At 41.8% G+C, this 20,768-nt stretch overlaps 1 long non-coding RNA gene across 1 annotated transcript in view, besides 3 other annotated features; it reads right to left on the bottom strand.

Annotated features, from left to right (window-relative positions):
* Positions 1 to 10,065, bottom strand: part of LOC101928573 (uncharacterized) — a 67,731-nt gene extending 57,666 nt beyond the window's left edge. Inside the window, exon 1 of the long non-coding RNA XR_007059489.1 lies at positions 9,766 to 10,065. This is a non-coding gene — a long non-coding RNA (uncharacterized LOC101928573). The remainder of the gene's footprint in view (positions 1 to 9,765) is intronic.
* Positions 7,995 to 9,194: an enhancer, noted in NCBI's record as "MED14-independent group 3 enhancer chr6:20266729-20267928 (GRCh37/hg19 assembly coordinates)". NCBI's record gives its function as "activates an origin of replication core promoter dependent on BRD2, BRD4, P300/CBP and CDK7 cofactors, and independent of MED14, by STARR-seq in HCT116 cells {active_cell/tissue: HCT116}" and the evidence as "EXISTENCE:reporter gene assay evidence [ECO:0000049][PMID:35650434]".
* Positions 8,145 to 8,284: an enhancer, noted in NCBI's record as "active region_24125". NCBI's record gives its function as "activates an Ori minimal core promoter by ATAC-STARR-seq in GM12878 lymphoblastoid cells {active_cell/tissue: GM12878}" and the evidence as "EXISTENCE:reporter gene assay evidence [ECO:0000049][PMID:35858748]".
* Positions 8,545 to 8,704: an enhancer, noted in NCBI's record as "active region_24124". NCBI's record gives its function as "activates an Ori minimal core promoter by ATAC-STARR-seq in GM12878 lymphoblastoid cells {active_cell/tissue: GM12878}" and the evidence as "EXISTENCE:reporter gene assay evidence [ECO:0000049][PMID:35858748]".
* Positions 10,066 to 20,768: the final 10,703 nt, after the last annotated feature.

Raw genomic sequence — 20,768 nt, 5'->3', positions numbered from 1 at the left:
TGCGCAAACTTCTATGTCCCCATCTCAATCCAGCTCAACTCAACAAAATCTCCTGAGGTCCTACTGTATACCAAGTACTGTGCCTGCTATCATTCATATTACTTCCTTTTTCTTTTCTCAGTCTCTAGTTTTCTTTTTTTCTGTGTTTCCCTGATAGAGGGAGTAATAATTTTCATGTGCTTGAAGTGAAACTCTCTTACTTGCTGAAAACGTATTACAAATAAATCTATATATATCAGAACTTTGTATGAGAGCAAATTTCAGCTGAGAAGGGGTTATAGGTACCTGACTATGTGTCTGTTAATAGAAAGTTGTATATTATTCATTTCACAGTGCAGGTTCATTTTTTGTAATTAGTCCTTTTGTTGAATTTATAAAGTCCTGAGTTTTGAAATAATTCCTTTGCATATCCTTAATGAGAGATACCTCACTAATTATTAGTATTTATGGTCTCCAGTGAAGCTAAAGGTGGTCAAACCAGTCAAGAACAGACTGATGCCTAAAGAGGGACTACTCTCATCTGGGTATGACTCCTTACACCTTCATGCCTCTTAAAGTGGGAACAATAATACTTCACATTTGGAAGAAAACAGGTTTATTAGATGCTAGTAAACCTCTTTTAATATGTTACTATGTAACTAAAGAAAGACATGATGATTAACTAATTTATCATATAATCACAAACAATTGGAAGGCAAGGACCCACAGATAGATACTATGTTTGCAGAAATCTACCTAATTTCTTTTTCTTTTTTTTGAGACAGAGTCTTGCTCTGTTGCCCAGGCTGGAGTGCAGTGGCGCAATCTTGGCTCACTGCAAGCTCTGCCTCCCAGGTTCACTCCATTCTCCTGCCTCAGCCTCCCGAGTAGCTGGGACTACAGGCGCCCGCCACCACGCCTGGCTAATTTTTTTTTGTATTTTTAGTAGAGATGGGGTTTCACCATGTTAGCCAGGATGGTCTCGATCTCTTGACCTCGTGATCTACCCGCCTTAGCTTCCCAAAGTGTTGGGATTACAGGCGTGAGCCACCGCGCCCGGCCTAAATCTACCTAATTTCATTGCTCCTACATTTATATCACATTTACTACTGAGTCACTCATTCATCAATCATTGTTGAGCATCTACTGTGTGTAAAATTCCATGCTATGAGCTGAGGACTGAATGGTAAATAAGATAAAGCTATGCCCTTGAAAAGCTGACTGTTTACTAGGGGAGATAGACCTGCAAATGAATAACTATAATGTAGGGAGGTAAATACTTATAGGCAAATGTACAATGCTGTGGGAGGAGGAAGGAATAAATGACGAACATTCTTGGTGGGAAGTCAGGAACGGCTGTATTCACCAGTCTTAAAGGTGAGAGCAGTAGGCTCCAGGAGAAGATAGTGGGCTGTGGGTAGGTCTTTCTGGAAGAGGAAGTATGTGCAAAGATCACAGGGGATTGAAAGAGTGTGGAATGTTCAGCAGGTAGAGGGGAGCTCAGCGGGGCAGTTAGGCAGGATGGTGCGTGAGAAAAGCTGGGAGTGAGGCTGGAAAGCTGGGTAACAGATTGGGAAGGGCTGTTTGTTTCATGCTAAGGATTTTAAACTTTCTCTTGGAAGAAACGATTTAATGATATTTCATGGGGAAATGATTTGATCAGAATCTGATAGGAAATCATAGAAATGCTTAGTAAATAGAGAACCTCCAGAGATAATTGAACAATTGCCCTTTAGATTAGCTTTCTGAGGATGCTCACTGAAAAAAGGAATTTTTGCTCAAATATGGTTGTTGCGTTCTTTCTTTCTTTTTCTTTTTCTTTCTTTTCTTTTTTTTTTTTTTTGAAACAGAGTCTTGCTCTGTCACCCAGGCTGGAGTGCAGTGGCACAATCTCAGCTCACTGCAACATCCACCCCCAGGTTCAAGCGATTCTCCTGCCTCAGCCTCCCAAGTAGCTGGGATTTCAGGCGCCTGCCACCGTGCCTGACCAATTTTTGTCTTTTTAGTAGAAGACAGGGTTTTGCCATGTTGGCCATGCATGTCTTGAACTCCTGACCTCAGGTGATCTGCCCGCCTCAGCCTCCCAAAGTGCTGGGCTTACAGTTGTAAGCCACTGCACCCAGCCAAAATTGCATTCTTGATTCCCCTCTCAGAGAAATGTTATATATCAGAACATATTAGTAGCTGTGTGAAGACCAGCAGAAAAGGTATTAGTTTAACTTAAGTGATATTGCACGGGGCACAGCGTGTAGACTTAGAATGCTTAGGGACACTTGCTGGCACCTTAAACTTCAAAGGTGTTTTCTGATGTGTTTCTGATGAGACAAGAAAACAGACTCAACTCCCCAGAACTCCATGCATCCTTAAAAGCTCTGTCAGGACGGGCGAGGTGGCTCATGCCTGTAATCCCAGCACTTTGGGGGGCTGAGGCGGGTGGATCACAAGGTCAAGAGATCGAGACCAGCCTGGCCAACATGGTGAAACCCCATCTCTACTAAAAATATAAAAATTAGCTGGGCATGGTGGTGCATGCCTGTAGTCCCAGCTACTTGGGACGCTGAGGCAGAAGAATCACATGAAGTCAGGAGGCGGAGGTTGCCGTGAACCGAGATCGCACCACTGCACTCCAGCCTGGTGACAGAGTGAGACTCTGTCTCAAAAAAAAAAAAAAAAAAAAAAAAAAAAAAAGCTCCATCAGAGGCATTTGAACCAGAGCAACTCCATCTTGAATAAGGGCTGGGTAAAATAAGGCTGAGACCTACTGGGCTGAATTCCCAGGAGGTTAGGCATTCTAAGTCACAGGATGAGATAAGAGGTCAGTATAATGGACAGGTCACACAGACCTTGCTGATAAAACAGCATGAGGTAAAGAAGCCAGCCAAAACACACCAAAAGGTGACAAAAGTGACCTCTGGTTGTCCTCACTGCTCATTACATGCTAATTATAATGTATTAGCATGCTAGAAGACACTCCCACCAGTGCCATGACAGTTTACAAATGCCACGGTAACCTCTGGAAGTTACCCTATATTGTCTAAAAGGGGGAGGAATCTTCAGTTCCAGGAATTGCCCTCCCCTTTCCCAGAAAACTCATGAATAATCCACCCCTTGTTTAGAATACAATTGACAAGTAACAATAAGTATCCTTAGCCGAGCAGCTTAAGCTGCTGCTCGGCCTATGGAGTCACCGTTCTTTTATTCCTTTAGTTTCCTAATAAACTTGCTTCCACTTTACTCTATGGATTCACCTTGAATTCTTTCTTGCAAGATATCCAAGATCCCTCTCTTGGGGTCTGGATAGAGAGCACTTTCCCTTAACAGCTCTGTGAGATAGAATCTAAACCTCTTCATGTTATTTGTGGTAGGTGCTGAAAGCTTGTTATCTTTAATTAAGTATCTTTTGTATTTTACATTGTTTTTAAATTCATTCCTCAGTAACAATATGCTAATGTTGTTTGTCATTGATAAAATTACATTCCTCTCCCAGTGATAGGTTTAATGAATGAATTAATCTAATTATCCAGCACACATCTGTTGAGAGTTTACCATGGCCCAGACACTGTAGATACAGAAATAAATGAGGAAGGTATGTTCTCTGCTTTCTCTGGAGCTTACAGTACAGGGGATAGCCTAAGCCAAAATGTGGTCCTGTGAATTGAACTTAGCACATCCGCTCCCCCATGATCTGGCCCCAGATGATGTGTGTGGTCTCACCTCCCACTGCTTTCCAATGTGCTACATTTGCCGTTCCCAAGACATCCCCAGCTTTTATACCTCTGAGTCTTTGCATGTCCTAAGGCCCCTGCCAGGGTGTCCTGCTCTCTCTCCTTCCTCTCCTCACCTCTTCCACATCACACTTGGCCTTCGAGATTCAGTTTAATCCTGAATCTTGGAATTTCCTGACACTCCTCCTCCCCAGTCTGATTGGTGCCTTTTTTTTTTTTGTACTCCAAATATTTCTTTGTACCCTGAGTATAACTCTGTCATAAATAACACATACCAAATAAACGTGCCATAATTACTGATTTACTTGAGTCTTTCTCCCACATTAAACTATGAGCTACCTGAGACCAGGGACTATGTTTTTTTACATTCTATGGTCAAGATCCCTAAAGGCTCTTCGTTAAAGAGGCCAATGTGTAAACAGTCATGATGGTTCTGTAAATGGTAGCTATGTCTCCAAACCAAGAAACAATCTTTTTATATCTACTCATATGGCTACTAAGGTGGCTGGGCTTGCCTTGGTGGGTATAGTCACATTCTACACTCAGATAAGAATTGTTCAGTAAATGGTGAGTGCCAGAAGGAAAGGTAGAATTAGCTCCCCTTAGAGAATAATGAAGTTGTAATTTAGTTAATTACAACTTTATCAGATTAGGAGTTAAGAATGAATATAAGGGTGCCTGTAGTCCCAGCTACTCAGGAGGCTGAGGCAGGAGAATGGCGTGAACCTGGGAGGCGGAGCTTGCAGTGAGCCGAGATCACGCCACTGCACTCCAGCCTGGGTGACAGAGTGAGACTCTGTCTCAAAAAAAAAAAAAAAAAAAAAATGAACATAAGGGCATCCCTTTTCCATGTCCCATTCTTCTATTCTATTTCTGTAGTACTCAACTCTCCTGATCCCATTTGCACCACCCAACCAGGTCAAGTGAGTAGATGCAGTGAGGTCATAGCTTGAAGCTAAAGGTCCTAGCTTGAATGGCTTCCAGAACAGGGAGCTTGTGCTATGTCCCCTGCTGCACCCAAACAGAAATGAGCTTCCTCTTCTTCTCCTGATCACACTCTTAATTTTGAGGAGTTGTATTAAAACCAAAGCCACCAAGACTAAAATGCAACCCAGCCATCTAGAACAACCTGTATACACCCTTGGAGGCTGGGCCTGGAGATCAGGGCTGGTTGTAGGTGATAAAGGGGTTTCTCTTTGACCATAACATGAGATTGTTGGGCTGGGAAGATGGGTGAGAGCTGGGAAAGAGGGTGAGTAGATACCCACTGTAGTTTTGAAAACAGCCCTGCACCATTATTTTCCTAAATTTTGAGGTTCAGTTGAGTTCAAGGAACCTTTCTAGGGCACTCACGGTGTGGCACGAGCAAGTGCTAGAGATGTAATCATTTGCAAGGTATGTAAAATCATTGCAAGGTAGATAAAACCCCTGCTGTCAAAGAGCTTGTGGTCAAGTAAATACAAGGAGATTCAGACAAGTGTTATGATAGAGGTGTTACAAGATATTAAGGAGGAGGTGATGATATCACACAGCCTGTTAATCAGAGAAAATTAACGGAACTGTCTAGCCCTCTCTATAGAAAAACAGATGGCTGCTTTGACTCATTTAGCTCCGGTGAAAGAGCAATGTCAAAGTTCGGCAGTGGGGAGATCCAGTGGGCAGAAACACTCGCCCATATATCCCTCTTTTTTTTTTTTGAGACTGAGCCTCGCTCTGTCACCCAGGCTGAAGTGCAGTGGCATGATCTCGGCTCACTGCAACCTCCGCCTCCAGGGTTCAACTGATTCTCCTGCCTCAGCCTCCTGAGTAGCTGGGACTACAGGTGCCCACCACCACACCTGGCTAATTTTTGTATTTTTAATAGAGACGTGGTTTCACCATATTGGCCAGGCTGGTCTCGAACTCCTGACCTTGTGATCCACCCACCTCGGCCTCCCAAAGTGCTGGGATTACAGGCATGAGCCACTGCGCCCAGTCATTTTTTTTTAAAGCTTTTCCAAGGAATTAGTGCTGTAAAGAGAAGACAGAGTCAGCGGTGGTGAAATCAGTGATGGCTGGCAGTGACCAGGGTGAGTAACGTCATTGGTAGGGGTGCATCTGTGATGATACCTGGGGTATATGCACTCCTTAGGAAAGGGAGAAATGAGGGAGGACCTCTCCCCTTCTTCTGAAGGCTTTGGATTGGGCTGTGGATGTTCACTACTGAAAAAGAATGGTCTTTATTTGTTGGGTCTCATCTGGATAGTGAGTGAACTCATTCTCTCCAGCACATTCTTTTACCACTGTACTTTGCATAACCAAACCAATCATCAATGGAATGAAATATCTATTACAGAATCATTAATTAAATGCACAAAGCCCAAATAAATATGGTGATGAAGCTACAAAAAGTAAAATAGAGTCCGCCTCTTTTTAAAGAAGACTTTCAAAGCATTTTTCTTCATGGTAATTGGCATTTTACAATGAGTTGTTCTCCAAGATTGCTGTTAGGACCAGAGCCCAAGCAAGATGCTGTGATGACGAGGTTCCCTGGCAACTAAGCCCCTTAAACAGTGTTAGAGACAGACTACAAAACAGAATTCTGTACTGTGTCAGGATGCATTTAACAAGGCTTTGGTGTCTATTTGGTATTTTTATGATTTGTAGAGCAGCAAGACGAGTGGGCTTAGCAGCCCAGGGTAGTTGCTATAGTAATAACTAGTGCAAGTTTTGAGATCCATTAAATTTTTTTTAGGGTTAGAAATGTTTAAATATTGTGATAGTTCTTTCTCTAAAATAAGTGAAAATACAGAAAATTCACTAATTTGCTAAATACTCAACCTCACAAAGTCCTTTAATAAAGATACTTAGAAAAAGTCTAGAAATTTAAATAAAGAAAAGCTGTCACTACAGTTATTTCTTGAAGCCATAATCCAACCTGATACCTTCATTTTCCTTTACAAAGAAAACTATAGCCCCTCTTCTGGTATTGTCATGAATTATTGATGTTAGATTAAATATTGCTCTAGGATATAGAGCCTGGTGATCCCTTTGACAGACTGAAAAATTGGTATGTATCAAAGAAACAATCCTTCACTACTGACCAAATTCCAATCCTTCTGTCACCATAAAAGCAATAAATAACCAACCTAGGATTGAAATACATGGTGTGGTCACCCCACTTCCAGCATTTTCAGGGCCCAGGCAAGAGTACAAATGGAGGCCCGCATGACATAGGTCTAAAAGTTATAAACGAAGCTTGTAATTTCATAAATAAAATATGGTCCATCCTTCTATATTGACAAGTGTACTTTCTTCCTTTCTTTCTTTCTTTTTTTTTTTTTTTGAGATGGAGTTTCGCTCTTGTTGCCCAGGCTGGAGTGCAATGGCGTGATCTCTGCTCACTGCAACCTCCGCCTCCCAGGTTCAAGAGATTCTCCTGCCTCGGCCTTCCTAGTAGCTGGGACTACAGGTGCCCACTGCCATGCCCAGCTAATTTTTCATATTTTCAGTAGAGACAAGGTTTCACTATGTTGGCCAGGCTGGTCTCGAACTCCTGACCTCAGGTGATCCACCTGCCTCAGCCTCCCAAACTGCTAGGATTACAGGCATAAGCCATTGCGCCCGGCTGACAAGTGTTCTTTCATGACACTTGGAAGGCAAGGTCTGATTGGGAATTCTTGGGCTACTTAGTGTTGCTCACTGAAGTGTGGAGAACCGGTCTAGTCCCCAGGCTGCAACACCCACCTCCTGGGTGCCCTTCTTCTCTTCTCACCACCAGCCCCACCCCTGTACTGCAGAGGATGTAGCACATGGTACCTGTGTGGACACCCTAGTCTTGCACAGACATCTAATGCACCTTCCACCACCTCCCCAATGGCTGCCATGGCCACCTGCAGTGCCACGTTGGGTTCTCTAGCTGTTCTGTCCTTTGGAGCAGACCCAGAGAAGAGACCAGTGCCAGGCCTGGAAAAGGGCTGAGCGCCATTTGCAGAGAGAATCCTAGGGCCTCATATACCTGGAGTGAGACGTAGAAGAGAGGGCATGAGCTCCAGGCAGGTGTGTCCTTTTTGCCCTGAAGGAAGGGCATGACCACAGAAGGGCAAGAGTGAACTTCCTGAAGCAGGGGGTCCAGGGCAGGACCCCTTTGTACCCACATGATGGGGGGTGGGTATTAGGAAACCTCCTTGCACTGACTAAAGACTCAAACCACCCCACTCCGACCTGACTGTATTATACTCTCCGAGGGTGTCTTGTTTACTTTCCTAGAATAATTACTTTTACTGGCTTCCAGACAAGCAAAAGGATATGCTGCTATTATCCATGGGAAAATAGCCCAGGAGAAGGCAAAGTGGCTTCCTAACAAACTGCCAGATATTATTGAAAGCTTGGGTTGCAGAGAGGATATTGAAAGCCGGGAACTGAAAGCACCCTCTTAGGTTTCAGGATCCATCTTCAAAGATGGCCGCCCTTCTACAACGAGGAAAAGCCTCGCCTCCTCACATCAGTCAGAACCCCTGCCCAATGTCGCCTGCGCATCTCGCCCCTCTGCTCTCTCTGCCCTTTTATGGGATACCAGCAGATCTGGCTGTGTTAGATAATCTTCTCTGCTCTCTGACAGCCATCTCTCTGCTCTTCTCATCAGTCTCTCCCTGTCTGACATCAATGATTTCTTTGTGGGTCAAGGCCTGACCTGGATCTCTTGAAACCGGGTCTGTACCTTTTCTCACCCACAGGATGCCAATTCATCTTGCTCTGCTTACCTCTCGATGAATGACTCATCTAGGGGTGGAGTGGGGAGGCCAGCCACACCTGAAACATGTGCCTCTTGGATTCTGGAGATTTAAGCGCTCTGTACTTTGCATCTGATTTTGACTATTTCAAGCAATGGAAGGAGAGAGATGAGAATAAAGTTACTTGTTGACACTTCCTCATTTCATATCAGGAACCAGAAAATGAAAAAAAGAACTTTTTTTTTTTTTTTTTTGGTGGTGGGCTTCTCCCTTTCACTTGTTCTGTGTTCCTCAGCTAATTTCCTGCCAGGGCAATTTCAGGTTCAACTTGCTTTTTAAAGTTATGAATCATACCAGTGACTCAAAGCCAATTTTAGTAAAGAAGAAAAGCGAAGCTGGAGGTCTATAAAGAATCAAACCTAGTAGGAAATATGAATTATTATTTTTGGAACTTTTGGCAAACACCCACTAAAGCATTATTCATTCATTCAGGAAAAATATGTTGAAGACATGCTCAATGGATGGTATAATATAAAAAAGGAGTTAAATACTTTTCTCTGAAAGATGCATAGATTTTTTAAAAATTGAATTCTTATTTTTTCATGGAGTGAAACAAAACTTAGAAGTAGTAGTTTCTATAAATGTATCAAGTGTGTTGCTATTGAAAAGAACAAGAGGGCCAGGCATGGTGGCTCATGCCTGTAATTCCAACACATTGGGAGGCTGAGGTGGGCGGATCACTTGAGGTCAGGAGTTCAAGACCAGCCTGGCCAACATGGTGAAACCTTGTCTCTACTAAAAATACAAAAATTAGCCAGGCATGGTGGTGCACGCCTGTAATCCCAGCTAGTCAGAAAACTGAGGCATGAGAAGTGTTTGAACCTGGGAGGTGGAGGTTGCAGTGAGCTGACCATGCCACTGCACTCCAGCCTGGGCAACAGAGTGAGACCCTGTCTCAAAAAAAAAAAAAAAAAAAAAAAAAAAAAAAAAAAAAAAAGAGAGAGAGAGAGAAATTATGGAGTTCCTCAACTAGGAACTAGGATGATGAATTCGTAACATTAAACATTTATTTTCTAAATCTTAGAGCTGGAGGACACCTCACTGATTTTCTCATCAATTATACACATAACTTTTCAACTTCAATAATGAGAAAAGAGAGGCCCAGAGAGGGTGAATGACTTGCCTGAAGTTGCACAGCTGCTCAGCCTGTAGCAAAACCAGGCCTGGAGTCTGGATGTCCCATCTATCTGTGAGCAAGTGCTCTCTCCAGGAACAATCATGATAGTTATTATTCATCAATTATAAAAGCAAGGCACTTTTTCTTATGCAATACTACTTAGTAGTCATACCTCAGAAAAGGCAAGAATCTCATTCCCAAGGTCACATTCTTTCCATTTGTCAGCTCCACTTTGCCCTACGTTGCAGTACCGGGAAGCATCTTCTCCTGCTTTTCACCTTTTCTTAAGCAGCCAAGACCAAATGGGGAAAATGAGAATCTGTCTCCACATTGATGTTTGCTTGTCCACTACTTCATTTCTTCCATCTTTCATTCTCTGTGCAAAGTGTTGAGTCAGGTGCCATGGAAGATTGAAAAATAAAACAAATCAAAAGGTAAGATATAGACCTACCCCTTAAGATATCCAACATCTAAAAGTGGATATAGGTCAGGCACAATGGCTCACTCCTGTAATCCCAACACTTTAAGAGGCTAAGGACTGCTTAAGCCCAGGAGTTTGAGAGCAGCCTGGGCAACAACGAGAGATCCCATCTCTACAAAAAAAAAAAAAAAAAAAAAAAAAAAAAATTAGCCAGGCATGGTGGTGTGCACCTGTAGTCCTAGCTACTTGGGAAGCTGAGGCAAGATGATCCCTTGATCCCAGGAGTTCAAGGCTGCAGTGAGCTATGATTGCACCACTGCCCTCCAGACTGGGTCTGTCTCAATAAATAAATAAAAGTGAGACTCTGTCTCAATAAATAAATAAAAGGGAATATAAGACTTGTTCACAAATAACTATAAGATAAAATTTAATAAAAAATTAAAAGTAGTAGACAGTGTCATAGAAATTCATGTGTTGGAGGAAAATAAAACTCTGGAAAGGAAGCTAGACGTGGTGATGTGTGATGGTAGTCTGAGCTGCTTGGGAGGCTGAGGCATGAGGATCACTTGAACCCAAGAGTTGAAGTCCAGCCTGGGCAACATAGTGAGACTCCATCTTTAAAAAAACAAAAAAGAACTCTGGGAAGGAGATGTGGAGAAATCTTGGAAAGATGAAGCATTGCTTTACTCTTTGGTGAAAGTCATTACATCCTTCTGGTGATTTTCTTCTTTGAGAATGGCTATAACACTTTATCAAAGAATAATTTGGTTTTAAAATTTTTATTGTATTTTGACAAAGTATAATTGTATATATTTATGGAGTATAAAGTGATCTTATGATACATGTATATAATGTGGGATAATTAAATCCAGCTAATTAACATACCCATTATCACAAATAATTATCGCATTTTGTGTTGAGAACTTTTGAAATTTACTCTTAGCAATTTTGAAATATATGATGTAGTATTATTAACTATAGTCACTATACTGTGCAATATGTCTCAAAAAACTTACTCTTCTTGTCTAACTGAAACTTCTTACCCTTTAGTCAATACCCATTCTCCCAAGCCCTAGCCTCTGTAACCACCATTCTACTTTGTCTTTCTAGAAGTTCAATTGTTTTAGATTCCACAGGTAAGTGAGAACTGCAGTCTTTGTCTTTCTGTGCATGGTTATGGCTTATTTCACTTAGTTTAATGTCCTCCAGGTTCATTTCATGTTGTTGCAAATGATAGGATTTCTTTATTTTTAAAGGCTGAATAATAATCCATTGTGGGTATCTATTACATTTTCTTTATCCATTCATCCATTTATAGACACTTATTTTGATTCCACAACTTGTCATTGTGAATAAGGCTGTAATTAACATGGGATTGCAGATAACTCAACATACTAATTTCATACTAATTTCAAATCCTTTGTATCTATACCTACAAGACGGATTGCTGGATCATATCATGATTTTATTTTTAGTGATTTGAGGAACCTCCATAGTGTAGTTTTCTGTAATGGCTGTACTAATTTACATCCCACCAACAGTGTACAAGGATTCCTTTTTCTCCACATCCTCATCAACACTTGTTACCTTTTGTCCTTTTGATAATAGCTATTGTAAGTGTGAGATATTTCATTGTGTTTTTAATTTGCATTTTCCTAATGATTGGTGGTGTTAAGCATTTTTTGTGTATCTGCTGGCCATTTTTATGTCTTCTTTCAAGAAATATCTATTAAGATCCTTTGCCCATTTTTAAATCGGGGTATTTGTTTTCTTGTTATTTAACTATTTGAGTTCCTTTGGATATTAAGCCCTTATCAGATGTACAGCTTGCAAATATTTTCTCCCAATCCATAGGTTGTCTCTTTATTAATTGTTTCCTTTGCCATACAGAAGCTTTTTTGTTTGGTGTAGTCCCTTTGGCTATTTTTGTTTTTGTTGTCTGAGCCTTTTGGGTCAAATCCAAAAAAATTGCCCAAATCAATGCTGTGTAGTTTTTTCCTGATGTTTTCTTCCATTAGTTTTACAGTTTCAAGTCCTATATTTAAATATTTAATCATTTTGAGGTTTTTTTGTTTTTTTTAAATAGACGGGATTTTGTCATGTTGCCCAGATCTTGAACTACTGAGGTTAAGCGATTTGCCCGCCTGGCCTCCCAAAGTGCTGGGATGACAGGCATGAGCCATTGTGCCCAGCCTGAGTTGATGTTTGCAGATGGTGTGATATAAGAGTCTGATATCATTCTTTTGCATGTGGTTATCCTGTTTCCCCAATGCCCTTTATTGAAGAGATTGTCCTTTTCCCATTGTGTGTTTTTGACACCTTTGTCAAAAATTAATGAATTATAATATGTGGGTTCATTTCTGGGTTCTCTGTTTTTCTATTCCGTTGGTCAATGTATCTGTTTTTATGCCAGTACCATGCTGTTTTAACTATTATAGCTTTGTAATATAGTTTGAAATCAAGTTAAGGTGATGCCTCTAGCTTTGTCCTTTTTTTTTTTTTTTTTTTTTTTTGAGACAGGGTCTCACTTTGTCACCCAGGCCGGAGTGCAGTGGTACAATCATAGCTCACTGTGGACTCAAACTCTTGAGCTAAAGAGATCTCCTCACCTCAACCTTCTAAGGAGATGGAATTATAGATGTGCATCACCATGTCTGGCAAATTTTTATTATTATTTTTATTTTTTGTAGAGACAAGGTCTTGCTATGTTTTCTAGGCGGTCTTGAACCCCTGGAATCAAGTGATCCTCTTGTCTCAGCTTCCCAAAGTGCTGGGATTACAGATGTGAGCCACCATTCCCAGCTGCTTTGTTCTTTTTGCTAAATTTTGCCTTAGCTATTCAGGTGTGTGTGTGTGTGTGTGTGTGTGTGTGTGTGTGTGTGGTTACATACGAATTTTAGGATTATTTTTTCTAATTCTGTGAAAAATGACATTGGAATTTTAATAGGAATTTCATTGAATCTGTAGATTGTTTTGGGCACTATAGACTTTCTAAAAATATTAATTCTTTAAATTCATGAACACAGGATATTTTTCCATTTGTGTCTTCAAATTTTTTCATTAATATTTTATAGTTTTAGTGTACAGACCTTTCACCTCTTTGGTTAAATTTATTTCTAAGTACTTACTTTTTTTGTAGCTATTGTAAATGGGATTGTTTTCTTGATTTATTTTTTGTATAGCCTGCTGTTAATGTATAGAAACCCTAGTGATTTTTGTGCATTGATTTTGTACCTTGCAACTTTACAGAATTTGCTTATTGGTTCTAACAATTTTTTTAATGGAGTCTTCAGGGTTTTGTATATATAAGTGCAAATAGTGAAAATTTTACTAATTTTCTTTTCTATTTGAATGCCTTTTATTTCTTAAAGAATAATTTAAAATAATGAACTTAAGGGGAAATCTAGATTTTCCAAATAGATCCTTGGAAAGTAATAAAAAGTTCTTAACTTCTAGACAGTCCAGTCTTATAGGATGTAAAAATTCAGATGCTAACTAAAATCCAGTTAATAACATAACATAAATTTTTATTAAATTTACTGAGCTTTCACCCTGAGTTACATAAATTTGAACAAATTGGTGGATAAGTAAATATTCAGATTTTGATGGAAATGAATAAAAAGTGAGTTGAATAGAAAGATTTTGATTGGGCAAAAGCAGCACTTCGTTTTTTGGCTTTTTTCTTTCTTTTTGTTTATTTGTTTAGCACTCTGCCACATTGCAACCCTAAATGGTTACTCTATGAGAAAATAAAATATAAAACCAAATGTCTTAACTTGTGAAATTACGCAAGACCTCTGTGATGTCTTTGGGCATTTTAAACCTTAATAATTTAGATTGAAGTCAGGTAGAAATTTGGAAGGAAATATGGATCTACTTTTTGTTCACAACCTGCTAGTACACAATGAAAAACTCTAATTCTGGGTTTGAGATTCTTTGAAAAAGGAAAAAGAATGGCACCATAAATGAGAAGGAAAATGTGGCCCTATCACTAGTTAAATCAAAGCCCGTAGAACACAAGAATAGAATTTTCACTTTGCCTTTGAACGCTCTTTTCAGATTTATTACCGCTATGTTCACAATCTAGGTATTTAAGTTTTTAAAGTTAAAAAATAATAACGTGACTTCAAGAACAGGGAGAAACAGGACTTCAACTACATCTGTGATACTTTATTTCCTTAGAAACATGTGAAGTAAACATGGGGAAATGGGAACATTTATTAAATCTGGATGGTGGTGACTGAGAGCTTGTTTTCTTCTCCCTGTTTTCTTGACTGTTTGAAATGCCTCATAATAAAACACCTGCACACAGGCTTTCTGAAGACCTGATCACTTTTATAAGCCATCAAATCATTCCACTTCTTTTGTCATTGATTTACCACTGAGGATATTACACCACAAAAATGACAGTGTAGAGTGACTAGGACTTCCAACCAATTAGTAGTGATAGGGAAAGTGACCAGTAGGAGTGGACAACCTGGAGGGGCAAAAATTTGTTTATTCCTCAGGTCCCTCCAAAACTTGTTGAGGGGATTGCTGCTAGATGCATGGTGTAGGCGGGGCACACAGGCATGATGGGTAATCCTCACCAGGAGCAGTTTCCCTCACTGCTGGATATTGGCTGGGCTACTTCTGAGGTGATTTGGCTGCCACAGGACTTAAAAATGCCTTTTCAAGAGTCTAGGTAAGGGTGCCTCACCCCACAAAACTGGGGGAACATCTCAAATACTTCGTGAAACATCACATCAAGTTTAGGTTTTCAGAGATAAAAGAAAGGTCAACTGTATGATACCAAGGGAGGATATCTTTTAATTATATTTTGTCCTCTTTCAGGCTCATAATGTGGTTTTGACTTGGAGATAGGAGATTTAGTTGCAGCTGGCCCTAACCTAAAAGGATGATGGTTATGTTAAAGTGTGTCCAGAATTAGTAGATTCTTGGTTTCACTGATTTTCAAGAAGGAAGCTGTGGATCCTCACAGTGAGTGTCACAGTTCTTAAAGGCAGCATGTCCTGAGTTTATTCCTTCTGATGTTTGGATGTGTTTTGAGTTTCTTTCTTCTGGTAAGGTTTGTGGTCTCAGAAGCTCAGGAGTGAAACTACAGACATTCGCGGTGAGTATTACAGCTGTTAAGGCGGCCCGTCTCGAGTTCGTTCCTCCTGCTGGGTTCGTGATCTTGCTGGTTCTAACAGTGAAGCTGCAGACCTTCATGGTGAGTACAACACCTCATAAACACAGTGTGGACTCAGAAAGTTAGTAGCAGCAAGATTTGCTGCAAAGAGTGAAACAACAAAGCTTCCACAGTGCAGAAGAGGATCAGGGCCGGTTGCCAGGGCTGGCTAGGGCAGCCTGCTTTTATTCTATTATCTGGCCCCACCCACATCCTGCTGATTGGTCCACTTTACAGAGCGCCAAGTGGTCTGTTTTGACAGGGTGCTGATTGGTGCATTTACAATCCCTGAGCTAGACACAAAGGTTCTCCACATCCTCACTAGATTAGGTAAACATGGAGTGTCCACACAAAGGTTCTCCAAGTCCCCACCAGAGTAGCTAGATACAGAGTGTTGATTGGTGCATTCACAAACCCTGAGCTAGACACAGGGTGCTGATTGGTGTGTTTATAAACCTTGAGCTAGATACAGAGTGCCCATTGGTGTATTTACAATCCCTTAGCTAGACATAAAGGTTCTCCAAGTCCCCACCAGACTCAGGAACCCAGCTGGCTTCACCCAGTGGATGTGCACGGGGTCCGCAGGTGGAGCTGCCTGCTAGTCCCGCGCCATGCGCCCCCATTCCTCAGCCCTTGGGTAGTCAATGGGACTGGGCGCGGTGGAGCAGGGGGCAGCGCAGGAACCCACGGAGGGCGGCGGGGAGGCTCAGGCATGGCGGGCTGCAGGTCCGAGCCCTTCCCTGCGGGAAGGCAGGTAAGGGCCGGCGAGAAAGTGAGCACAGCAGCTGCTGCCCCAGGTGCTAAGCTCCTCACTGCCCGGGCCGGCGGGGCGGGCCGGCCGGCCACTCCGAGTGCCGGCCCGCTGAGCCCACGCCCACCCGGAACTCGCGCTGGCCCGCAAGCGCTTTGCGCAGCCCCGGTTCTCTCCCGCGCCTCTCCTTCTACACCTCCCCGTAAGCTGAGGGAGCCGGCTCCGGCCTTGGCCAGCCCAGAAAGGGGCTCCAGTGCAGCGGCGGGCTGAAGCGCTCCTCAAGTGCTGCCAAAGTGGGAGCCCATGCAGAGGAGGCACCGAGAGCGAGCGAGGGCTGTGAGGACTGCCAGCACGCTTTCACCTCTCAACGGTAGAAGCTGTCCATATCTCCCACGACACTTTCAGTCCACCACTAATATTCTGCGACTTGGCAGTTGTACCCAGTACAATTTATTAAATGGTAGGCTTAGGGTTCCTTTTAGCTACCTGATAGAGTACCAGGCAAATTCATGAAATAGGTAAGCAGTATTTCTTTTGTTTTGTTTTGTTTTTTGAGACAGAGTCTCACTCTGTCACCAGGCTGGAGTGCAGTGGGGAGATCTTGGTTCACTGCAGCCTCCGCCTCCTGAGTTAAAGCAATTCTCCTGCCTCAGCTCCCAAGTAGCTGGAATTACAGGTGTGCACCACCAGGCCCAGCTAATTTTTAGTAGAGATGGGGTTTCGCCATGTTGGCCAGGCTGGTCTCGAACTCTTGGCCTCAGGTGATCCACTTGCCTCGGGCCTCCCAAAGTACTGGGATTACAGAGGTGAGCCACTGCACCCGAACAGTAAACAGTGTTTTTAATAGTTGATATGAGAGATTGAGTGCTTCTAATGAGACAGTTACTGCAGTATTTCTTTGTGTGCCTTGTTTAATTCTCACACTATACTTTAAGATAGGTAGTTTCTTCCCTACCTACATTATAAGGAATCAGAAGCTCAAATAATTTGACAAAAGTCACATGACAAACGGTGGAGACAGGATTTGAACCCAGGACTGTCTAATGCAGCAGGCACGCTCTTTTAAAATATCCCATGCTGTCTCCTCATCCTTCGCAACCATTTGGGGGGCTTTAGTCTTACCTTATTCTCTTTAGGAGGTGGGGGTGGGTACATGGAGAAGGAGTAGCTACTTAGTGGCAGCTTTAGGGCTAAAATGGGATGTCTCTCCTCTCCAAGAACGGTTGCTCTGAATCCTGTATCTTCATTGTCTTTTTGGGGACATTGTCCATTACTGTGTAGTACCCGCTCTCCCACTCTATTAGCTGTATCCCTGTCTGTACAATGTATGCAAATCTCTCTTATTTTTCAGCAAGCTTCCATATGACACTGCATTTCCCTTTAACTACCACCCAGTCTGGTAGCTACTCACCACATGTGGCAAGTGAGTACTTGAAATATGGCGAGTGTAACTGACGGGTTGCATTTAAGATTGTAGAAATGGAAGCAGTACGTAATATTTTTCTCCTCTCTCTCTTTCTATTTTTGCAGAGATAGGGTCTCGCTTTGTTGCCCAGCTTGGTCTCAAACTCCTGACCTCAGGTGATCCACCTGCCCTGGCCTCCCAAAGTGCTGGGATTACAGGCATGAGCTGCCATGCCCAGCCAAAAATATCTGTCCATTAAACTCAACTCTACCATTCTGGACTGTATTCCACTCTGCATCACATAAGACATTATTGTATGTCAGTGGATGTGTTAAGTGTGTTCATCATCTAGTATTATACATAAGTGCTTCCTCTATATAGTCTGTCAATGGATGGATTCAGTTTCATTTTTTTTTTTTTTTTTTTTTTTTGAGACAGAGTCTCACTCTGTTGCGCAGGCTGGAATGTAGCGCTGCGATCTCGGCTTACTGCAACCTCTGCCTCCCAGGTTCAAACAATTCTGCCTCAGCCTCCCGAGTAGCTGGGATTACAGGCGTGTGCCAGCATGCCTGGCTAAGTTTTGTATTTTTAGTAGAGATGGGTTTTTACCATGTTGGCCAGGCTGGTCTCAAACTCCTGACCTCAGGTGATCTGCCTGCCTCAGCCTCCGAAAGTATTGGGATTCCAGGTGTGAGCCACCACGCCCAGCCTCAGTTTCAGTTATTTTTTACATGCACCCATGTGTTTATATGCACACTGTAACATGTTTATTTGAATATTTTATTCAGAGAGCATCGGTTACAGAGATACCTATGCATATCATAGTTAATAATTAAACTGAAATATTATTTTAATTATAATATCTTTATTTATCTAGTTTTCTATCTTATTGTATCAGCTGGGATTCTCCAGAGAAACAGAGCCAATGGGAGATATATGTTTAATATAAGGAATTGGCTCAGCAATTACAGAGACCAAGAAGTCCCAGGATCTGTAGTCAGCAAGCTGGAGATCCAGGAGAGCTGGTGGTTTAGATCCAGTTTGAGTTTGAAGGTCTGAGAGCTAGGAAAGCCAATGGTGTTAAGTGGCACACTGACCATTTCTAAGTAGTCTAGGCAGAACTCTCTGGCCTTTAATGTGAAAGAATAAATTCAACTTAACACGAATAAATAGGACTCGAGGAAGTTGAGAATGTGGGAACTGCTTTTGGCAATTTCACTTGGAGGTGACAGTCATTCTGGAGGATAATAGGTAACATGAATTGTGAGAGGATCACAGATTTGGACCCAGGGAGGATTTATCTAAGGAATAATCCCAAAGATTTTTTTTAAACCTACATATTCAAATATATTTATAGCAGAGATATTGAAAGCAGGGGAAATTGCAGGTAACTTTCATGTTCAAGAGGCAGGTAAAACTTAAATAAACAGATACAACCTCTTCATGAAATACTAAGTAGCAGTAAAATGAATAATCTTGAAGCCATGTTCTGTGGAAAAGTGTATGTGACCTCAATGCTCATTTTCCCCTTAATTTCAGGGGCTCATTGTTTCAGATATGTGACATGTGAGCTAAAACCATGGTACAGTTCCTCAAAATCATATTATCCCCAAGGCACTATTGAGCAACAGAATTTCTGACAGTCTTGTGGAAATTAAAACTGAAAGTTCTCTTCTCCAGTTTTTACCGCCATATTTTATTCTTCACTCTTTAATTTTTTTTTTTTTTCAGACAGAGTCTCACTCTGTCACCCAGGCTGGAGTGCAATGGCATGATCTTGGCTCACTGCAACCTCCACCACCTGGGTTCAAGTGAATCTCCCACCTCAGCCTCCCAAGTAGCTGGGATTATAGGCACCCGCCATCACACCAGGCTAATTTTTGTATTTTTGTAGAGACGGGGTTTCACCATGTTGCCCAGGATGGTCTTGAACTCCTGACCTCAGGTGGTCCACCCGCCTCGGCCTCCAAAGTGCTGGGATTACAGGCATGAGCCACCGCGCCTGGCCTTGTTCTCCACTCTTAGGAGACACACTGACACAACAGCTTACTGTGTACCTTCCAGACCTTTTATGCATATACAAACCATAATAACAATAAATACAAACATATATTTTTCTTTGTGCATAAATAGGCACACACTATACTCAGCACTCTGTAACTTGCATTTTTCATGTAATAATATAGAAACCTCTGTAAATGTATAGATCTGTTTGCTTTTAATGGCTGCATGTTCATGTTGATGCAGCCACTAAAAGGAAACAGATCACCGGGTGCGGTGACTCATGCCTGTAATCCCAGCACTTTGGGAGGCTGAGGTGGTCAGATCACTTGAGATCAGGAGTTCAAGACCAGCCTGGCCAGCATGGTGAAACTCTGTCTCTACTAAAAATACAAAAACAATTAGCTGGGCATGGTGGCACCCGCCTGTAATCCCAGATACTCAGGAGGCTGATCCAGGAGAATCGCTTGAACTCAAGAGGTGGAGGTTGCAGTGAGCCGAGATGTGCCACTGCACTCCAGCCTGTGCAACACAGTGAGACTTCATCTCAAAAAAAAAAAAAAAAAAAAGGAAACATCTATAGATTCACAGAGGTTTCTATGATATATTAAATATCATCAATGCCTAAATATAGATATGCTGAATATCCATTGATGAATATGCTAAATATCCATCAATGCCTATGATTGAGTAAATTATTGTATAATAATTAATATTGTGTAATAATTTACTCAGTCATAGGCATTGATGGGTATTTAGGTTATTTCTAATTTTTTATTAGAAATTTTTATTTCTAATTTTTTGTCTAGTAATCAGTGCTGTAGAACATCACATTGATTCATTACATCTGTGATATCATACTGGTCAGGAAGGATGAGTAAGAGGTGGCTTGTGCAAGTTGGAAGCCTTGGTGAGACCCATGTACTCCAGAGAATGGGAAATAAATCCTACAAAGATCCAGAGATCGGCCAAATCAGGAAGGTTTTTAGGGGTCTAGTGGACAGGATTGTGTTGGTACATATCCTCCAAAGTAAGGGCATATTGCTGCATCTTGCATCCCCTAACACAAAGAAGGAAGCACAGCGCCTGGTGGGCCTCTATGAATTCTAGAGGCAACATAGTCTACACCTGGGAATATGGCTATGACTCACACCCAGGAGGCCCAAAGACCTATGAACTCTCAAAATTGGTCTACCAGGGCCTTTTTCCAAGAGAGCACTCCACTTTGAAGAAAAAGTGCTGGTAGTAAGAGAGAATAATAAAGAGAAGATCTAAATACATGTGAGAGAGGACACACCCAAGAAATCTCAGAAAGCAAGCCACTTGATTTTTGAACACTGTATTCATTACATTTTATTGTTTTCAGGTAACAGAAGTGAGGGTCGTATGAAGTTAAAAAGCTACCCTGAACCATGCCTCCTTCTAAA

The sequence above is a fragment of the Homo sapiens genome, chromosome 6 (assembly GCF_000001405.40).
Source record: "Homo sapiens chromosome 6, GRCh38.p14 Primary Assembly".
Taxonomy (NCBI): domain Eukaryota; kingdom Metazoa; phylum Chordata; class Mammalia; order Primates; family Hominidae; genus Homo; species Homo sapiens.
Note: the sequence above shows the minus strand (reverse complement) of the source record. Positions and strands in the feature narration are given on the sequence as shown.